This window comes from Homo sapiens, chromosome 10, assembly GCF_000001405.40.
Source record: "Homo sapiens chromosome 10, GRCh38.p14 Primary Assembly".
Lineage (NCBI taxonomy): Eukaryota > Metazoa > Chordata > Mammalia > Primates > Hominidae > Homo > Homo sapiens.
Genome location: NC_000010.11, coordinates 126,271,626 through 126,291,875, shown reverse-complemented (window position 1 = coordinate 126,291,875; position 20,250 = coordinate 126,271,626). Strand labels below are relative to the sequence as shown.

Sequence of the window (20,250 nt, the reverse complement as noted above, 5' to 3'; positions counted from 1 at the left end):
GCCCTGCAAGCCTGGTGAAGTGATAGTCTGGTTAACGTGGTGGCTCCAAGGGGCCACACAGCCAGATGACCCCCAGTCCTTCTCAAGTCCTTCATCTGCTTTTGCCTTGAGTCCTCAATCCCAGAGCTGCATCCATCACCCCCCGAGCCCTGGGCTTTCTGACTCCATCTCCCAACTCCAGTGGAGCTTCTCCTCCAGCCTCAGCGTGCACCTCTGTCCCATTCCTCCCGTGCCATCTCCCTCCTGATGCTGAGGCTCTCATGAATGCCTCAAGACACAGCCAGGCAGGCAAGCAAAGGGAAGAGCAAGTGACACTCTAACTTCAATTTTTGTCTGCAGCCATGAAATGAGAATTCTCTTTGCAAGATCTTTATGAGGCTTGTAGTGTGTGTTTTCATGGTGCAATTTGAATGTGTTTTCTAAAAAGTTAGCAATTAGCTGTAATTCTGTTTGTAATAGAAAAACTTGTTTGCATTCGGCCTCAGTACATAGTGACTTGCGGTGCCTCTGTGATCGATAGCAGGATTACTCTTTAAAGGGCTTAGTATATTCTGCTAATGTTTATTTGAAAGACATTACAGTGATGCTTTATAAATGGATTTTAGTCAACATATGAATGGGGTATTTTTCTAGAAGACAGCTTGCATGCAAACAAACTAGCAACTTAAGCTAACTTCCCCTGACTGACAGTTTTGAAATGTGTTGTAGGAAAAAAAAATGGTACATGAATGTTTCCAGACATCAAATTAGTTATATAAATGCACTTTGAATGGGAAGCAAGCTTTCTGGTTAATAAACACAGTCCATGCTATTCTACCACTGGCTGTGTCTTAGAAGGCCTCAGAGGCCACTCCAAAAACAATGCTCTGTGCTTTTATAATATTTTAATGTCCCTGGTTATATCAGTAAGCATACATTAGAAAGTATTAGCTTAAAACATTCTACACCAAAATGAAGTACATTCACATATTTTGTGCTGCATCTTACAGGTCTTCTAGTACCTTCTATCCCCTTCTATGATTGGTCGTACACATAGTACGTAAGAGCCTCTTCCCATATAGAAGAAGGGGGAAAGCTAAGCTGCTTTCAGCTATCAACCCAGGACTGGACCCAGTGCCTGGCTCATAAATAGGCCCTCAGTTAATAAATGTATAATATTCCTTTTTGAAAAATTTTTGAAGCGTCATTTATTATGCCCATTTTGATCTAACTATAAAAAGCATGAAAAGGGTGCAATTTGGGAAATTAGCAATCGATAATAAGTGAAACGGTATCTTGTCACTGTCATGCTGTGCAGTAGCAGTTTGATTTGTGATTGGATTTCTGTAATAAGCATGCATTTTCATTTTGTCACGCATGATGGTTTCCAAACAGCCTTTTTACCATTTGAATCTCATAGCGATCATACTAATTAAGTCAGTTGTCTAGTGCTGCTATAACAAATCACACCAGTTTAAGTGGCTTAAAATGACACCCATTTATTATCTCACAGTCAAAATCTCAAGGTCAGAAGCCCAGTGGGCATGGTTGGATTCTCTGCTTCAAATCTCACCAGGTTAAAAACAAAGTGTCCACAGGACTTCCTTCTTGGTGGAGGCTCTGGGGGAGAACCCATTTCCTGCTCCTTGACGCACTGGCGGAATTCAGTTCTATGTGGTGGTAGGAACATGGTTCCTATTTTCTTGCTGGCGGTTGAGGGCGGTTCCCAGCTTCTGGAGACACCAGGTTCCTTGGCTCATGGCTCCCTTCTGGCACCTTCAGAGTAAGCACAGTGGGTCAAGCCCTCTTGTCACATCTTTCTGACCCCAGTCATGAAAGATTCTCTGCCTTCAGGAACGCTTGTGATTACATTGGGCCCATCTGAATAATCCAGGGTGAGGTCCCTGTCCTTAACCTTAATTGCATCTTCACAGTCCCTTTTGCCAAGTAAGGTAACATATGCACACATTCCAAGGGTTAGCACATCTTTGGGGACTGTCATTTCTATGACCACAATGATAGGAAAAGCGTTTTGTTATCCCATTTTCCTTGTAAGAAAACTGAGGTCCAGCAGAGTTAAAAGATTGGCCCTCAGTCCATGGCCCACAGCTGCCGTCTGACCGTAGCCTTCTAGCCTGAGGCCCCTCCTACTGTAGCCTCTTAAATGGAAAAATGCTACATTTCCAAAATGAAATAGTTCTTTGTTGCTTAAAATTATTGTTCCTTTGCAGTCAAAAGAGGAGGAATTGCTGCATCTCCATAAACTTTCAACCTAGGATGCTCCTAGAAATTGATCAGGGTGTTCCAAGACCTGGGGTGGTCCGAGGATGCTGAAATGAACTGGGTCTTGGAACCCAGCCTAGGCCTTCTTCCCATGGTGAGCACACCTCCTCATCAGCCCTGCTTTCCAGTGCAGCTGGCATCGACACTGAACGTTGCAAGGGGCTGGTACCCGTGGATGTGGATGCCAGGCACATGGCACTGGGGCTACCAGTGGTCCTTATGAGCCCAGGTGGTACGTGGCTGACAGGAAAGACTCATCCCGGCCTCGGCCTTCTGCCTCCCCGCCTTGGCATCTGATGGTCCTCAGCAGGCAGCCAGGTGCTGGCAGAGATGCCTGGAAGTGGGAGAGGGCACGGGGCAGCAGAGGTCTGAGGAGGTGGTCCCACAGCCTGGCAGGGTTTGGTGTCAGCTGGGGCCTGGTCAGAGGCTGACTTCAGCAACATGATGTCAACACACTATCCAGCCCCCAGGCACCAAGTCACCACATGGTCCTGTCCCCAAGCCATTGTGTCACCACACGGTCCTGTCCCTGGGCCACCGTGTCACCACATGGTCCTTTTCTCTGGCCATCATGTCACCACACAATCTTATTCCTGGGTCACCATGTCACTATATGGTCCTGTCCCCAAGCCATCATGTGACCATGTGGTCCTATCCTCAGGGCTACCATGTCATCATGCGGTCCTGTCCCCAGGCCATCATGCCACCCTGTGGTCATGTCCTTAGGGGTAACTATATTACCACATGATCCTTTCCCCTGGGCCACTATGTCACCACTTTCCTGTCCCTGGGCCACCGTGTCACCATGTGGTCAGGTCCTTAGAGTCACTGTACCACCACATAGTCCTGTCCCTGGGCCATTATGTCACCACACGGTCCTGTCCCTAGGGCCACTATGTCACCACACGGTCCTGTCCCTGGATCACCACGTCACCGCATGATCCTGTCCTTAGGGCCACCATGTCACCACATGGTCCTGTCCTTGGGGCCACTATGTCACCACACTGTTCTGTTCCTGAGGCCACCACATCACCACACAGTCCTATCCCCAGGCCATCATGTCACCACACCCACCTCCACTCTTTACCTTGTATTTTGCATTGATTCAGATTTTATCAAAAGTCCTGCTGCTGCTGCTGCTCTTGCTGCTGCCGCCTCACCCTGTCTGCCCTATTTTGGATTTTTTTTGTCACGAAGATCCAAATAAACTGAGCAGGAGGATGTGGAATCCTCTCCGGAGAGCTGAGGGTGCTGGGACCCAGCCTGGGAACATGCATTCATTGGTCATTTGTATAGTCCCAAGTACAAATGTAAGAAATTCAGCTCACAGGGCAAGCCCTGCCTACTCTCCTCAGAAGAACAGTATGGAAGTCCATTTTCAAAGTCCAGGGTTTCCCTGCTCCTTGTACAGGGATCCTTGTACAGCCACTTGTGTCCCACAGAGGACGTTGGCCTCCTAGGGTGAGGCAAGCAGACAGCCCGCAGGTCAGAGGACCCTCTGCTTGTGACAGTGTGTGACAGGTGAGGAGGGACTGGAGGCCACTGTTATACCTCCTCAGGGGACCTTTGCAGCTTTGGGGTCTCCTCTCCGCCCCCCAGTTAGTGTTCCTCCTGCATCCCCGACTCCTCCTGCCTGTACCCTTCATCCTACAGAGGCATCTCGGTGGCCCTGCTCCGGGTGTGGGGACTGTAATGTGGAGCACGCTGACAAATTCTTTGTCCTTGGGAAGTTTCTATTTTGCCGAGGGAGATAGACTGTAAACAAGTAAAAGAAAAACAACAAATCATCACAAATGAGGAACTTTGCTAGGAAGAGACAGAACAGGGTGTGTGAGAACCAACAACCCCCTTAGGAGGCCGGGACTTCTCTGAGGTGGTGATGTCCAGGCCAGTGCCTGGAGGTTAAGCCACACAAAGGGCCCAGGGAAGATGTTTTGGCAGAGAGTCAGCAGCCACAAGGACCCAGAAGCTTCGGGAACAAGCAAGTGATGACATCCAAGTGAGGTGCCAGGTGAGCAGACGCCAGAGCCTTCACAGCGTGAAGGCCGTGGTTTTGTTCTAAGCACATCAGGTTGCCATTGAAGGGTCTTAAGAAAGGGCATCACTAAGCTCAGGAATTCTGGAGGAAAGCCAGGGTGGATTTTCTCCAACCTCCCCTCTGTCGTGGATCAGGGGTGATGGAGGGAGATGGTCAAATAAAAGCTGAATTTTAGCTGTGTTAAGTTTGAGAAATCCATGTCATAGTGTTTTCCAGGTTGCTTTCTGATAAGTCATGTTTTCATTTCCCTCTTCCAACCCAATAGTAAGCTCAAGAAAGGAACAGAGTAATGTCGTCTGCTTCAGAATTGGCCATTGTCCTCAGACAGATGCACGTGCCTGGTGGACTGTCATTCTATAGCATTCAGATGCACAGAAGCAGACCAGAAGTATTTCAGTGCATAAATAAGGCTTTAAGATGCTCTGGCTATAGCTAAAGTAATCTAAAATGAAAATCTAAAATGTTTGCTGCAAATCTGAGGATTAACAATCACACCGGTAGCGACGGGACAAAGAACTTGAGCTAAGAGCATCACGAGGACCAAAGGTGATGTGATGGTGCCTTTTCCTGCAGGGAGGGAGAAGCAAGCTGAAAAACCAAGACTCTATCATGCTGCAGAAACACAGTGAGAAGATCCTGTGCTTAAAATAATCCAACGTTTGAACACACAAACTTCCAACTGCATTATAAACCTAAGGATAATACATGCCATCCTGTACATAGCATTTTAACAGGTTGTTGGCTAAAGTTAATTATCCATCGGAAAAATTGTCAGTAACTCAAGAATAAACATTATCATTATTTATGTAATAACAAACAGGCCCCAATCCAGGGACACCCCATTATAATGCTGCCGTGCCTTAATTCCTGACTGTGTTATACTGCAGTTAATTCAATTTTGTCCTCTCTAAATTCCACAGTGCGCATATCTTCCAGGCTGTGGAAGTAGCACACTGATATTAAAGTGGTAATCAAGATTGCCTCTAAATATTCATAGCAATAAATGACTCCCTCGTGCCCCGTGAATGCCAAGGCTGCAGCCTGAAGCATTTATTTAGTGCCGGAGAGGGATCTAGTTATTTTAGAGTTCCCTTGAATGCAATATTTTAATTTTGTTGTTCTTCTTGAAAAATTAGATCCCTCTGAGCTTCCAGTATTGATGGTTGAGATGAATGACTTTGGCTCTGGCTGACCATGGTCTTTGGAAGGATAATCTCAGAGTTGTGATGGGAGTGGACTTGGCTGTTGACCCCAAATCTTACTTTTTGGATGGTAATTCCCTCCTGCCTGCCAGACCTGCTGCCGTTCCACTGCCACATTAATTCACCCTCAGAATCAGGGCAGATGTTTCTAAGCTGTTGAAAATTTCTTGTTCTCTAAAGAGAGAAAAACACCAAGGACCTGATGCTGTGTGTCATCCCGTCCTTCAGGGAAAATAATGAGCACCCTACAACCATGCAAAGCTACATTTATGGACTCGAGGTATTTTGTGTTCATTATGGGTGAAATGATTTAAAGTCAAGTTTGGATCAGCCTCCAATCGCACACATTAAAGAAGGGTAGCACGACATGGATAGCACCAAAAAAAAAAAAAAAAAAATAGGGAAATCAATCTAATCAGCCAATCAATCAATCATCACTTTTTGCACATCTGTTTGTACAGCCAGTTCACTGGGATGCCCTAGCCAAGTGCATTGTGGGAAACCTCTGAGAGAACACAGGCACCTGGGGGCCCTAGAGGTGGGCAGCTGGGTCCTGGCCGCACCCGTCTTTGCAGATTTGCCTGGGCTTGCCATCTCAAGGGGAGTCTGCCAAAAAAGCCTTTCTGTGAGGAAGGCACTTGCCTCCTGTGAGCACATGTGCACTGAGGATAGAGTGTCTGATGAGTTTTGCCCAACGACAAAGCTTCCCTCCTAGGAGGAAAGAGGGATTTGGAGTAAATGCAGTATCAGTCTTGGGGTTTATCTCCAAGCCTACATGCCCTAAAGAGGGAACTTAGATCTGACTCCTAGATGGAACTGAGAGTGAAGTATAAGTACAAATAGCAAGAGCTATTTCATGAAAAATTCTATAATAAACTGGGACATCAGCCCAGGTCCCATAATACACTTACACACAAAAGCAAGTGTTCATGCACATGCCTGCATGCATACAGGTAAATAGGGATATCAATAAATGTCAGTGCCTTATGGCCTAAGAGGCAGTGTAGTAGATAAAAATATATCGATTCACTTGAACTTTCAAACTTAAAAAGATATTTTCTTATGACTTTGGAGGAAACAGGAAGCTGTTGAACTTTGCCATGACTTTTTTTGTCACCTTTGTTGAGGAGAGCTTGCCTCCAAATTATAATGCTTCTCTTGCAGCAGAACCCTTTCCTTCTCTCCTACCCAGCATCCCATAGGAAGTGGTCCTTTCCTCTCTAGAATGTCCATTCCACAGACCTCTGTCCAGTCTCTCAGTCTGTAGCCCTTTTTTGGCCAGCACCTACCGGCTCCTCTTACCTGCTGGCTCCCTCACCTCCAGCCTGTATTCTCCCCTGGCCTTCGGCCACTCTTGGCCTGCACAGTCTCCAATCTTGGGTCACACCCTTAACCCTACCTACCTTTTCCAACCTGCCATTGAGCCCTGAACGCTGCAAAAGACAGACAAGTGTGTATGGGTGAATAAGAAATAAAACAGCCCCAGTGAAGAGAGTAAGGGAGCATCCTTTCTCCAAGGAGGACAAATCAAAGTGAACAAATAAAACAAAATTCACACCCAGACATACAATGGCCACACTGCCAAACATGGAAGAAAAAAGATCACAAAAGCAGCTGCAGAGAAGAGATGGGTCACCTGCCCAAGGAGGCTGAGGACTGACTTCTCAGCAACAAGAATGGAAACCAAGTCATCCGTGATCGCTCGAGCCTGTAGTCCCAGCTACTTGAGAGGCTGAGGCAGGAGGATTGCTTGAGGATAGGAGTTTGAGACCAGCCTGGGTAACATATTGAGACCTCATTTTTATAAAAAAGAAATAGAAACAGAAGACAGTGGAGCAATCCCAGGGTGCTGAGATAGTAGAGGTGAGAAGACTCACCAAACATCAGGACTCAGAGTAAAGCTGTAGTAATTAACACAGGGTGGCATTAGTGCATGGACAGACAATGAGACACATGGTATTAGCTCAGAAACAGATCTCCACATGGCTGCTACAGATACGGTGGAAGGATAGGTCTTTTTTTTTTTTTTTTTTTTTTTTTTGAGATGGAGTCTTGCTCTGTCATCCAGGCTGGAGTGCAGTGACGTGATCTCAGCTCACTGCAACCTCTGCCTCCCGGGTTCAAGTGATTCTCCTGCCTCAGCCTCCCGAGTAGCTAGGATTACAGGAGCACAGCACCATACCCAGCTAATTTTTGTATTTTTAGTAGAGACGGGGTTTCACCATATTGGCCAGGCTGGTCTCAAAGGCCTGACCTCAGATGATCCACCCACATTGGCCTCCCAAAGTGCTGGGATTACAGGAATGAGACACTGTGCCCAGCCAGGAAGGATAGACTTTTAACAAATGGTGCTGGAACAATTGGTTAATCACATTTTCTCTAAAGTAGAGTTGGACTCCTACTTGGTACTGGACACAAAAATCAAGTCTGGATGGGACTTAAATGTGAAAGGCAAAATTATGAAACATTTAGAAGATAACACAGTCTGCTTTTTGATCTTGGAGTAGGGAAGGATTTCTCAAATAAGGCACAAAGACTTTAAACCATGAAGGATTTTATTAAAATTAAGGCATTCTGTTCATGAGAACACACTTAAGAGGATGAAAAGCCAAAGCCCAAACTGGGAGAAGATATTTGTCACACATTAAACAGAGAAAAGCATAGCTTCCAGAATGTAGAAATAACTACAAATTCACAATGACAAGAGAAAGGGAGGAGGAAGAAAGCAGGAAAGGAAATGGTCAGAAAACATGAGCAAGTATTTCACAGGAGAAGAAAATCAAATGTTCCATAAACATAAGCAAAGGTGCTCTGTCTTGCTACTGAGGAGGGAGGCGTAAAGGAAAACCCCAGTGAGCCGCAGTTGCACAGTCAGCAGATTGGGGCTGCCCGCCTTTTTAAATTTTTGCCAGATATTCATGAGACTATGGAATGAGAGAAACATTTATAACCCATTTGTACTTTGGAAAACAATTTAAAGATCCCTGGTAGAGTCAAACATGTGCAAACTACACCACCCAGAGTTTCCATCCCAGATTAGCCAGGGAAACTCATATCTGTCCAGCAAGGCAGGGGTCCCCAACCCCTGTAGCCTAGGAACCAGGTCACACGGCAGCAGGCGAGGTGAGCTGCAGGCTGAGAAGCTACATCTGTATTTAGAGCAGCTCCCCACCACTCACATCACTGCCTGAGTTCCGCCTCCCGTCAGATTAGCGGAGGCACTGGGTTCTCATAGGAGCACAAACCCTATTGTGAACTGTGCACGTGAGGGATCTAGGTTGTGGGCTCCTTATGAGAATCTAACGCCTGATGATCTGTCACTGTCTTCCATCACCCCCATATGGGACCATCTAGTTGCAGAAAAATAATCTCAGGGCTCCCACTGATGCTACATTATGGTGAGTTGTATTTCATTATGTATTACAATGTAATGACGATAGAAATAAAGTACACAGTAAGTAATAATAATGTGCTTGAATCATCCCGAAACCATCCCCCACCCCCAGCCCCAGTTCCATGGAAAAATTGTCTTCCACAAAACCGGCCACTGGTGGCAAAAATGTTGGGGACTGCTGTAGTAGGAGACATGTACACAGGAACATGCATAACAGCATTTTAAGAGCAAAAAGGGTTGGAGAGAAAGAATGCCAAAGTCCACCTGTAGGAGAAAGGACTTACACATTGTTTGTGCAATAGAATACTACATAGCAATGAAAATAGATGGACTACAGCTGTATACAACCATATGTATAAATCTAACAAATATAAGATTAAGTAAAAGAAACCAGTCATAGAAGAATGGACAAAGTATGAGGCCATTTTTGTAAGGTTCAAAACAGGGTAAAACTAAACAGTGTATTGCTTAGGAATATGTACACTAGAAACAAAACTGTAGAGGAAATCAAGATAATGATTAATAGAAACTTCAGCATAATGGTTACCACTGGTTGGGAATAAGGGAAATGTAATAATGAATTTAGCATGAGAAAGTGTATGAGATGAATTTCCTCTCCCTTCCCCCCAGCAAATTCCTGTATTGACATCCTAACCCCGGTACCTTAGAATGTGACTGTATTTGGAGAAAGGCCCTTTAAAAAGGCAATTAAGGTGAAATGAGGTCATATGTGTGGCCCCTAATCTTATATGGCTGGTGTCCTTATAAGAAGAGATCAGGACACAGACATACAAAAGGCCATCTGTGGACACAGTAAGAAGGCAACTGTCTCAAAGCCAAGGAAAGCGGCCTCAGAAGAAACCAAACCTGCCAATGCCTTCATCTTGGACATCTAGCTCCAAAGCTATAAGATAAATTTCTGTTGTTTAAGCCACACAGTCTCTGGTGTGTGTTATGACAGCCCCACCAAACTAATACGGGGGCTTCTAAGATTATAGAAATAGTCTGCTTTTTCAGCTGGGTAGTAGGTGCCCTGGTGTTTATTTTAATCGTTGTTTTTCAAATTGTACTTATACATTTTATATACTCTTGGATGTACTTTCCCAATTAAAATAATAGAGCAGCAATTACTGCCAAAACATTTCTGGCCCATTGATTAGCAGTTAATTGATTTATTCAGCAGGTACAGTTCTTTAAGCATTCAATAAAAGACACAGTTCCATTAGGGTAATCAATATATCATTTTTAAGAAAAGGAATGCCGTATTTTACCGGTACTACTTCATCATCTCCAATGGGTAACAATCAAAAGAAAATGGAATGAATACATGCTTTTAAGAAGTCTAAGGCAATTAGTGGTCTTCAATTAAAGTAGCTGTCTGTTCTCCCTCTCTATTGGTTTCTCCTTTACTAGTCATACCTCAACTAATGTACATAAAGATCTTCCCTGAAGGAAAATATGTTCTTCTGCAAGATGTTGACATTGGACTCTCCTAACACTTCTAGTACTTTATGTGGAATTACTACAAATGTTAATGCTTAAACTACCTCAATTCTTTGGGGGAAAAGGGATATTGCAAATAATATATTTTTATTCACATATAGAATTGTCAGGATTTCCATTTAAGGTATGTGATCTGTGCATTGATATCTTAGGCAAACACTATTTGTAACTAAAGTAACTAAGTTACTTATATATACATACATATGAAACATGTAGTTATACACACATGTATACATACATATGGTGTGTTTGGGCACATTTTGACAGAATATTGAGACATATTTTGTTCTAATATTTTATTGTAAATATAATTAATAATCTTGTTCTTCACACATATAATTAATGGGTACATATTACAAACCCTGAAGAGAACATTATGGAAGTGTTTGTAGTTCAACCCGGGTGTCAGCAAGTATAGGCAAATATGCAGGAGTCCCTGTGATGGACTCGAAAGCAAATACCTGTAAGGGCATAAGAACACTTTGACACACTACACTACAAAGAAATGGTGCATGTTTCTTGGCATGTAGGATCCAATAGATTAATTTTCAAAGTCGAGTAACACTCAGAAATGCACACAGTTCTTATAAACACCAGACAGTATCAAAATATATAAATTTGGTATGTTTTTGTACTCTTTTGCTAGAGTAAATCCATCAAAAACAAGGCCTGTGTAAACCCAGAAAAGATACGTAAGAATTTCATATATCTGGAAATTCACCAATTTAACTCTCAAGTTTAAATAACTATTTAAAGTAATATCATCCATCAGTGAAAACTGAGAAAGAACCTCCTTGAAGCTCATAAGGAAAAAACCCTTGAGTTTGTACCTAATTTTACCTCCTGAAGGCCCTGATATTTAAAATAATCTAATTCTCAGGTGGCAATTGGATGATGTAAGTTTTAGGTCTTTATCACTGACTCAGAGCTGTCCAATAGAACATTCCATGATGATAGAAATGCTCTATATCTGTGCTGTCCCACAGTGGTAGCCACCTGTCACACCAAGTTATTGAGTCTGGCAATGTGTCCAGTATGACTGGTGAACTAATTTTTAAATTTCATTTCGTTTTAATTAACTTAAATAGCCATATGCGGCTAATGGCTACCATGAGAGACACAGAAAGACTAGAAGAAGATATGCAAAGGGCTGCCCTAAAAATAAAGCAAATAATGTTTCAGCCTTTGTGACTCTACCCCAGTTATATGGCCTTAGTTAAGTCATGTTTTGCCTTAACTCATTTTTTTTTCCCAAAACTCATGTGACCTTCAGTTGTTATGGGTTTTCTTTAAATTCTGTTTTACTTTAACTAATTATTTTCATGTTGGACATTTGGAACCCACAATCCATTTCATCTTAAAGTGTAGTGGCATGTGGTTAGTTAAGTCATGGTATAGCTGAAACATTATATATATTGTGAAAAGATCTTTCGAGCTCTGGAGTTATAAGACTGACTTTCAAATATGAAATATTAGAAAAGTATGTATAAACTTCTCATTCTCATGCGTTCATACAAGCCTAGTACCGAAATAACTGACAAAGCAAAGGCAGACGAAGTCAGCGTAACTGAAGGAAGCACTAATTGAGTGTGGTGGTGATCATGTCTCAGCAAGACTGAGTCTCCACTTTCTGCACTCATGCAATGCTGACCAGGAAGAATGAGGTCTCCTTGAGTTTGTGGTGCCTGTTCTGTGGGATGACCCAACTCTCCCTCCACTCTTGTCTTCTTCTTCTTTTTTTGTTTTTTTGAGACGAAGTTTCGCTCTTGTTGCCCAGGCTGGAGTGCAATGGTGCAATCTTGGCTCACTACAACCTCGGCCTCCCGGGTTCAAGCGATTCTCCTGCTTCAGCCTCCTGAGTAGCTGGGATTACAGGGGTGTGCCACCACACCAGGCTAATTTTTTGTATTTTTAATAGAGATGGGGTTTCACCATATTGGCCAGGCTGGTCTTGAACTTCTGACCTCAGGTGATCCACCCCCACCCCACCCCCACCCCTCGGCCTCCCAAAGTGCTGGGATTACAGGCTTGTTTTCTTTTTTTTTTGAGACAGAGTCTCACTCTGCCACCCAGGCTGGAGTGCAGTGGCGTGACCATAGCTCACTGCAGCCTCGAACTCCTAGGCTCAAGTGATCTCTCGCCTCAGCCACCCAAGTAGCTAGGACCACAGGCACAAACTACCACCCCTGGCTAATATTCTGATTTTTTTTATTTTTACTTTTTGTAGAGATAGGGTCTCACTGTGTTGCCCACCTAGGCTGGTCTCAAACTCCTGGACTCAAGCAATCCTCTGGTGCCTGGCCTTCACTGCTCTTTTTAAGCTGCTAAGAAACCTTCATTTATACACTGCATTGTGATGGCATTTGGCTCTTTCTTAGGTTGACCGCATCGTTTATTCCCTCATTTGACTACGCCTGTGGGTCTTATTCAGCTATTTGCAAATCAAAGCCAAGCGTTTTTCAACTGACTTTTGTTGTTTATCTTTCAGAATCATCCAGAAGTGCTGAATATTCGACTACAACGGGAAAGCAAAGAACTGATCATAAATCTGGAAAGAAATGAGTAAGTTAATTCTTGTTTATTGCATGATAGGAGAAAGTTAAGACACCATGGACAGAAAAGTGCTCTGTGATTTATGTTGGGGTTTAGAAACAAAGAACGAAATGCATGGATTTGTAATCCAAATTTGGATTTGAGGTGAGAATTAACTTTAAAAAATTATCTAATGGAAAAATAAAGAATTTTATCACTCTATTAAGGAACTTTATAACTCAACACTATTTTTTCATAGTTCTGATGTTTTATTTTTTCAGTGCCTGGTTGTTCAAAGATTTGATTTAAGCATCCCTGTACTGTTCAAATAACAGAGTTTCATAATTAGTTGACTTTTGACAACTCCTGGATTATATTAGGGGAAACAGCTTCAAACTGATAGAAATTATCTTCTCCCTGAGAAATACCAAGAGTTTATTTTATCTTTCAAAGCTTATCTCCAGTGATTTGGACTATTTCTGTCATCTTCTTATTTTTAAAAATTGGTCCTTTTGTGGAAAAATTATATAAATTTCCAGAAAATGGCATTATGGCTTTTTCTGGGCCGCTTGGATACTATTATACATTTTGTGTGCCTTACTAGCAGAAAACTTTGTCTGCCTCCAACCGTAAGACAAACAACTCGTTTTCTTATTCTTTGCACCCTGGCTATCCCCACAGATTCCTCAGATCTAAAGGACTCCTTAATATTCTATTTCATTAGTACCATAAAAGAAGAGCTTATTAGTTCTTCTAATAAGCAATCTGTATGTAAAGATAGAACTCAATTTTCCAAGTCCTGCTTGGTCAAAATAGCAGTTTCTCTCTTCCAAAAGTACTGGTTCCTGTTCCTCACCCATCAGCAGGATGGTGATTTTTTCTGAAACAAGAGTAGAGGTCGCAGGCCCTCACTGGGATGAGTTCTGTCAGGGATGTGGAGTCCCAGAACCTGACTCAACATCTCCCTGTAAACAACTCAGATCATTTACTTGTGTTGGTGCTTTGATTTGAGCATTTTAAGCAAGACAGACGAAAGACAGTCAATCAACAGCCAGCCCGAAAGTTCGGTATCTAATGCTGCAATATATAAAAATGTATACAAAAATCACACTACCTGCTCCCTGGGATCTGCAACCTGCCTCTTTTGTGTTTTTTTTCTTACATTCTTACTGCTCACCATTAAATAGATCAGAAGCTTTGGAAACAAGAAATGAGGTGTTTTTAGCTTTTCTTGTGACTTGCTCTTAAAATAGAGATTCAGACACATGTATTATATAATCAGGAATCTGAAGAGAAAACTGTATATTGCTTTTGATCCGTCTCCCTTAGCAAAGTACATATTTTCATACTCTATTTCTTTACATAAGAATATCGAGGGGCACACATTTTTGTACATTTTTAGGTATGGTTTTGAAAATATCTCAATGGAAGAAGCTAGGCATTCCCTGAAAGATCAAAAGCATCTAAGGCTGCTGGTGGTGATGCATTTTCTCGATGGGGTTGTTGTGGTGGGCAGCTGGATTTAGGAGTGTTCTTTATTGCACCTGCTCCCATTGTTAGGCTGTTGGAAGAAACGTGGTGCACAGCATGAGGGGAGGCTAATCCTGAATGTTTTATGGAGCATTACGACTGCAGGTAGAGAAGCAAAAATCGACCTCATAAAAACCTTAAGTTGTTTTTACTATGAAAACAATATACATACCCAGTGAAGAAAACTGAACATTATAGGGGGGAAGGGAACAAATAACCCTAACATTTTTTAAAAAGTACTTTTACCACCAAACACAATCCTGTTTAAGATTCTGGTGAATTATATAGATGGATTTTTTTTCTTATAAATAAGCCTTTGTTTCTTTTGTCTTCTTAGTTGATATCACAGTCTGTATGCAATTTTATACCCTGCTACTTCATTTAGCTTCATAATGGACACACATTTCCATAGATAAATAATTTCTTAGAGCCCGTCTGGTTGTCTGAGTTTGTAATGTGACTTAATAGCCTTGTCCATGGTTCCCCCTGAAAATGATGTACCTTCCATTACTGCAGATACTATAATACACGTTGACTGCTAGAGAGTAGCTAATTTGTATAAATATCGTTTTAAAAGGTGACTTAATTTGTTCCCTTTCAATTCTGAGTCTTTCATGAGATAATCTCAAAATTATAAAAGTTGAAAACAAAACTATCTTTTTAATTTATTTCTCTCTTTGCAACCTCACTGTCAGACTGCATTTTCAAAAATACATAGAAAATGTTTCATATGTTCCTATGATATGCTATAATTTTAATTGTATTACTTGTACCAATTTTAGAAATTCCATTATATGAAAAGTAACATTTTCATAATAAGAGGATGCCAATATTACTATTTTAATGATGCATTACCAAAAATACTTCAGTATAACAATTTTTTTGCAAAAGGTTACATACCTATTCCAAATTAACTATACCTTTGACGCAATGAATACTAAAAACAAAAAAAATCAAGTAGAGTGAAATGCTTGTGCACTACTAGCATGTAATGCTGTTAGACACCAAAGGCAATCAATCATTTAGTATATAATAGAATTTTAAATTTGCATAGCCATTGGCCCAATAGAGTCAAGTCCGAGAGTTTTTACAAGTGAAACTATAAGAACCCAGAGATAAAAATATAAGCAGAGACCATTTACATGTTTAACAATGAGTACAATAAAGGGCCTGATCAATCAGGATGAACAGCTGACCAATCAGAAGGCAAGCTGGTTAGTATACCGCTCCAACACCTTCAGCCCCAGAGTCAGCCCTGTGCTTAAAGATGTTTTACCTAAAAGTACATCAATAGGAGACTGATTCAATAATCAGCTATGAAACAGGATACCATACAACAATTTAAAATGATGAGACTTTTATTATAAAAAATTCATGGTATAATCAATGTAACTAGCATGTTAGAAAATAGTTGTTTCCTGCTAGTGTTTGTTTTCTAAAAAATGAAAATAGTTTACATAGTATTCAATTTTTATTTTAAAATTATACACATGACATGTATCTCTGAGTAGGAAGATTATAGAGGATATTTACTTTCTTTATTGTATTAATGTTTCGCAAAAATAAAATATTACTTTTAAAATTAGGAAAAAACATTTTCTTTTGAAGGAAAAAAACTATTGTAAAAACTTGATAATGGTTGAAAAGAAGATTGCTAACGTATTTATTATTCCTAAAAAGAAAATGATAAAAGTTATTTTGAGAGGCCTCTGGAAGGCCTCTGGTGACTTTTAAAGAGCAAAAAATATCTACTCATTGAATATTGGGTCTTTAAATATCCAGAAGTTTACTGTAATTGAAAAACCTGCTTAGAAACCACAACCTAAATTAAAGCGGTCCCAGTCTCTTAAGTCTATAGCTAATGCTGAGAGTCATCTAATTAATCCTACTCAAAATGCTTCTGTGGTGAACCGATTCTTCATGGCACAGGGCTGAATTTTTATTAAATAGTTTTTCAGGGAATCTCTTTTATTTACCTTCTAACATCCCTAATTTATGAAAAGATTGGATGCTGTTCACTTAAAATCTGTATTTGTATAGCCCCTGAGAAGCATTTTGCACAATATTGCTGTCTGCCTATGGACCTGTAGAAACCAGGTTGATAACTTTCATACTTCTACTAGATCCCTGTGGACTCTCAGGCCATCCCTTACATAGGTATTCTGTGAAATTGTATCTTTGATCAAAATGTTTTATTGGACAGGCTGGCCAGCTTTGGCATCAGCTTTTCCAGTTTAGGATAATGAAGAGTGATGGCAGTAGATCACGTTCCTTACATCTCTCAATCCCAGCATGCCTTCAAGTTCTGTTCCCATCACTGATTGAAGGCACTTGCCATGGGAAGTCCATAGCCCATTGAATTTATGTTTGGGGTATCTCTGGGATAGAATAACTTCAGCACTGACTTATTTTGCCTAGAACGATTCCAGACATCTCTTACAGGGCAACTTTAATTAGTATTCACTCTAGAACAATAACAGAAAGGGCATTTTAAAATGGCTAAACATGGGTATAAATATTTGGAAAGGCATTTATCTTAGATCATCTCTCAGAATATCATGGTACAGAATGGAGAAATGTAACCAGTGTGGAGATGGCATTAGATGGTTTAGTTGGCTGAATCACCATCCAGAGGATATCAAGCCATTGTTCCCCTTGACCCAACCCATGTTGAAGAGGGCGACTGAGGTTGCTGCCGGTGGCCTTAGGGCTGTGTGCATGGCCTTGTCCTGGCCCACAGTTTCATGGACCATCTCGATGAAGATATAAAAAGTGCTCTCATCACATTTCCTGGCAATGCAGAGCTAGGGGGAATAATTGTGCTTGGCACGGCAAAATCTGGATTATGAAGATTTCAGCAGTTCGGATCAATGGGCCAAAACTAACAAGGTGAGATTTAATGGGGATAAATGTAAAATCCTGTGCTTGGGTTAACAAAAAAATAAATGTTGCAAGTTCAGAAGGAAATTTGTTAGTAGTTCTTGTGAATGAGACCTGCATACTCAAGCCCCTGAGGCAATGTGGCTGCTAAAAAGGTGACTGCCACCTGAGCGTGTGGGGGTATATGTGGTGGGTCCTAGGCAGGGGAGGTCATTCTTCTGCTACACAGGGTGGGGCACAGCCAAAACCCTGCATCCTTCGCCGTTGCAAGCCTGACATCAGAGAGCCACCTGCCACTTCATTCTCATTTCCACCATTGGATGCTTCTTTCCTTTCCTCTTCCGCCAACCATGACATCCTTACGGTCAGGGGTAGGACAGCGTGGCTCATCATAGGCATCGATGAGCACTCCTCAAATGAGTGGATGATGGAGTCTGGACAACCTGGACCAAGCCAGAAGTGAGTTCCCAGGAGGTCGAAGGTCACTTGGGTGGGGTGAGAAACAATTCAAGGAGAAAACCTTCCAGAAAGGAACACAGGATTTGGAGTTAGGAGCCCAGGCTTTGAAAGCAGCATTGCTCCCAACAGCAAGTTACTGATATTCTCTCCACTTCCTTCATGGCCTCCAGCGATCTGCCCACCTTGGCCTCCTTGTCTGCAAAATGGAATAAGCATCTGTGTCCAGTCAATGCAGGAAGATTATAGCTCATGTTAATTTTGATGATCAGGTTTGAATGACTCAATAACATTTCTCTGTGGATCCAGCAATCTTAATTATTTTACCGAATTATATTATGTTCTGTTTCAGCGTTTCTAAATTAATGGAAATCAGGTTATGCCTACTCTTTACCTCTAATTCTTGGTGATGGCCAAACATCTCAATGCTCACAAGACCTGGAACAGACACGCCAGGCTGGTCCTTCGGGATCCAGCTGCTGTAGGGTTCTTACCTTTACAATCTTGACATGCCCAGGGATTGGACTTTTAAAATCTTTGAGTGTAGAGTGCTATTCCCTTTTACTTCTTCTCTTGCAGAAGAAGCCTAGACTGTTTACCCCCTCCCCACCCACCATCTTTTTTTTTTAAGAAGTTAAACTTTTATTTTCACTGCCCAACCATCAGTCAATATACTGGGCAAACCAGCAGAAGCCCTTGCCATAGCCCTGTTGTTGTACACACTGAACGTGAACGATTCCTTGGAAAAGGCATTTGGCTCCTTCAGGGTCACAAGTTCCCTTTCCTGTGGTCTGTCCATAAAGACCAAATGGCAGACAGAGTTTTTCTTCACTGATTGTGCCTGTTCTGTCCAATGTTTGCTAATCAAGATAAGGACTGGCACATGGGATATTCTTTCATCAGTCATTAAAGCATTGAGCTCCTCTTTGGATTCCAGGATCTGAGGACAATCTGCACAGTAACCCAGAAAGGCAATCCCATTTGTTGCTGGGAGATCACTGTTCCAAAACCAACGTGTTTGCTTATGCCCCAGAAGATCAAAAGTCGTAAAAGCCAGGCTAGCAGTTGTCAGCTCTGCTGATGGCAGAGGTCGTGTTGGAGCCTGTTGGCCCAATCCACCATCTTTGAGCATATGAGGAAGAATGGTTTCATCCACATTGTCCCAACCCAAGAGAACAAGTTTTCTAGATTTCTTGTAGAGTCCTAGAAACTGGAGCACACTGTAGAAGCCATTGTAGATCCACTCACAGATGAAAGACATTATTAATGCTGACCATAGCCTGAGGGGCTCCCCTGGAGGCAGCACATGGCCTGGACCCTCCCTCAGAGCACACAGACCAGCAGCACCCGGACCAACAGTGACTCACCAGGTGGACATCACACCCCCTCCCTGAAGCCTGCCCTTAGGAATGGGGAGTTCTAAACTGGCTGGTGATTCTAATTAGTGACTAAACAAATGTCGATGGAACCATATCTCAGAAATTATAGTCTCATGTTTCCAGCTCTCAGCTTCCCTTCTACTATTAACTGATCTTTATCAGAATCTTTATTAATATCTTATTAATAATTATCTTTACTAAACATTAATAATTAATAAAGCTAATTAAGACAATGTGCTTGCTCATGCCTCCCAAGATCAAAAGTTATAAAAGTCATGTCAACAATTGTCAGCTCTTCTGATGTCAGAGGTCATGTTGGAAAACATTGGCCTAATCTGCCATCTTTAATGATTATCATCTGTCATATTAATTATCTTTATTAATTAATCTTTATTGATGTGTTAAATCACTTGCTCATTCACTTCTTCACCTGGTTATTTATTCACAAATATGTGTTTAATACCAGACAGTATAATTGACCCTGGAGGGAGAGTAGTGAATAAGATAAAGTTCCTGTCCTCTTAGAATTTAGTCAAGGAGCCCAACACTAAGCAGATCATTACAAAAACAGTAACTGGATGACTGCATTGCTCAGTGCTCAGGAGGGGAAGGTATGGGGCCAATGCCTGGTCTGGGGAGGGAAAATGTAGAATGAAGCAGCTCTTAAGCTGTGCACACAGAGGGAAGAGCCCAGTCAAGGAGGGCAGGAGGTAGAGAGAGAAAGAAGAGCAGAAGTAAATGTCCAGCTTCTCAGATTCTAGAAGGTCTTTGTACTGATGACCAAGAAGGAGAGAGACAGAGGAAGCCAGGCCATACAGGGGTTGTGTGTCCTGATAAGGATCTTGACTTTATTCCTAAATACAGTGGCATGCCATAGAAGAAAAGGCCTGTAGGCAGAACAATGACATGATAAGATTCTGCTTTTCATTTGTTTGAGACAGGGTCTCACTCTGTTGCCTAGGCTGGAGTGCATTTGTGGAATCACAGCTCACTGCAGCCTTGACTGCTCTGGGCTCAGGTGATCCTCCCACCTCAGCCTCCCTAGTAGCTGGGACTACAGGCATGCGCTGCAAT

The 20,250-nt window shown here is 42.1% G+C and overlaps 1 protein-coding gene and 1 pseudogene across 5 annotated transcripts in view; one reads left to right on the top strand and one right to left on the bottom strand.

Moving 5' to 3' along the window:
* Positions 1-20,250, top strand: part of ADAM12 (ADAM metallopeptidase domain 12) — a 376,087-nt gene that overhangs the window by 96,602 nt on the left and 259,235 nt on the right. For all 5 annotated transcript variants that reach the window (NM_001288973.2, NM_003474.6, NM_001288975.2 and 2 more), the window contains exon 3: positions 12,888-12,961. In NM_001288973.2, coding sequence (NP_001275902.1) covers positions 12,888-12,961 — 74 coding nt within the window. The remainder of the gene's footprint in view (positions 1-12,887; positions 12,962-20,250) is intronic.
* SAR1AP2 (secretion associated Ras related GTPase 1A pseudogene 2) lies at positions 18,554-19,148 on the bottom strand (annotated as a pseudogene).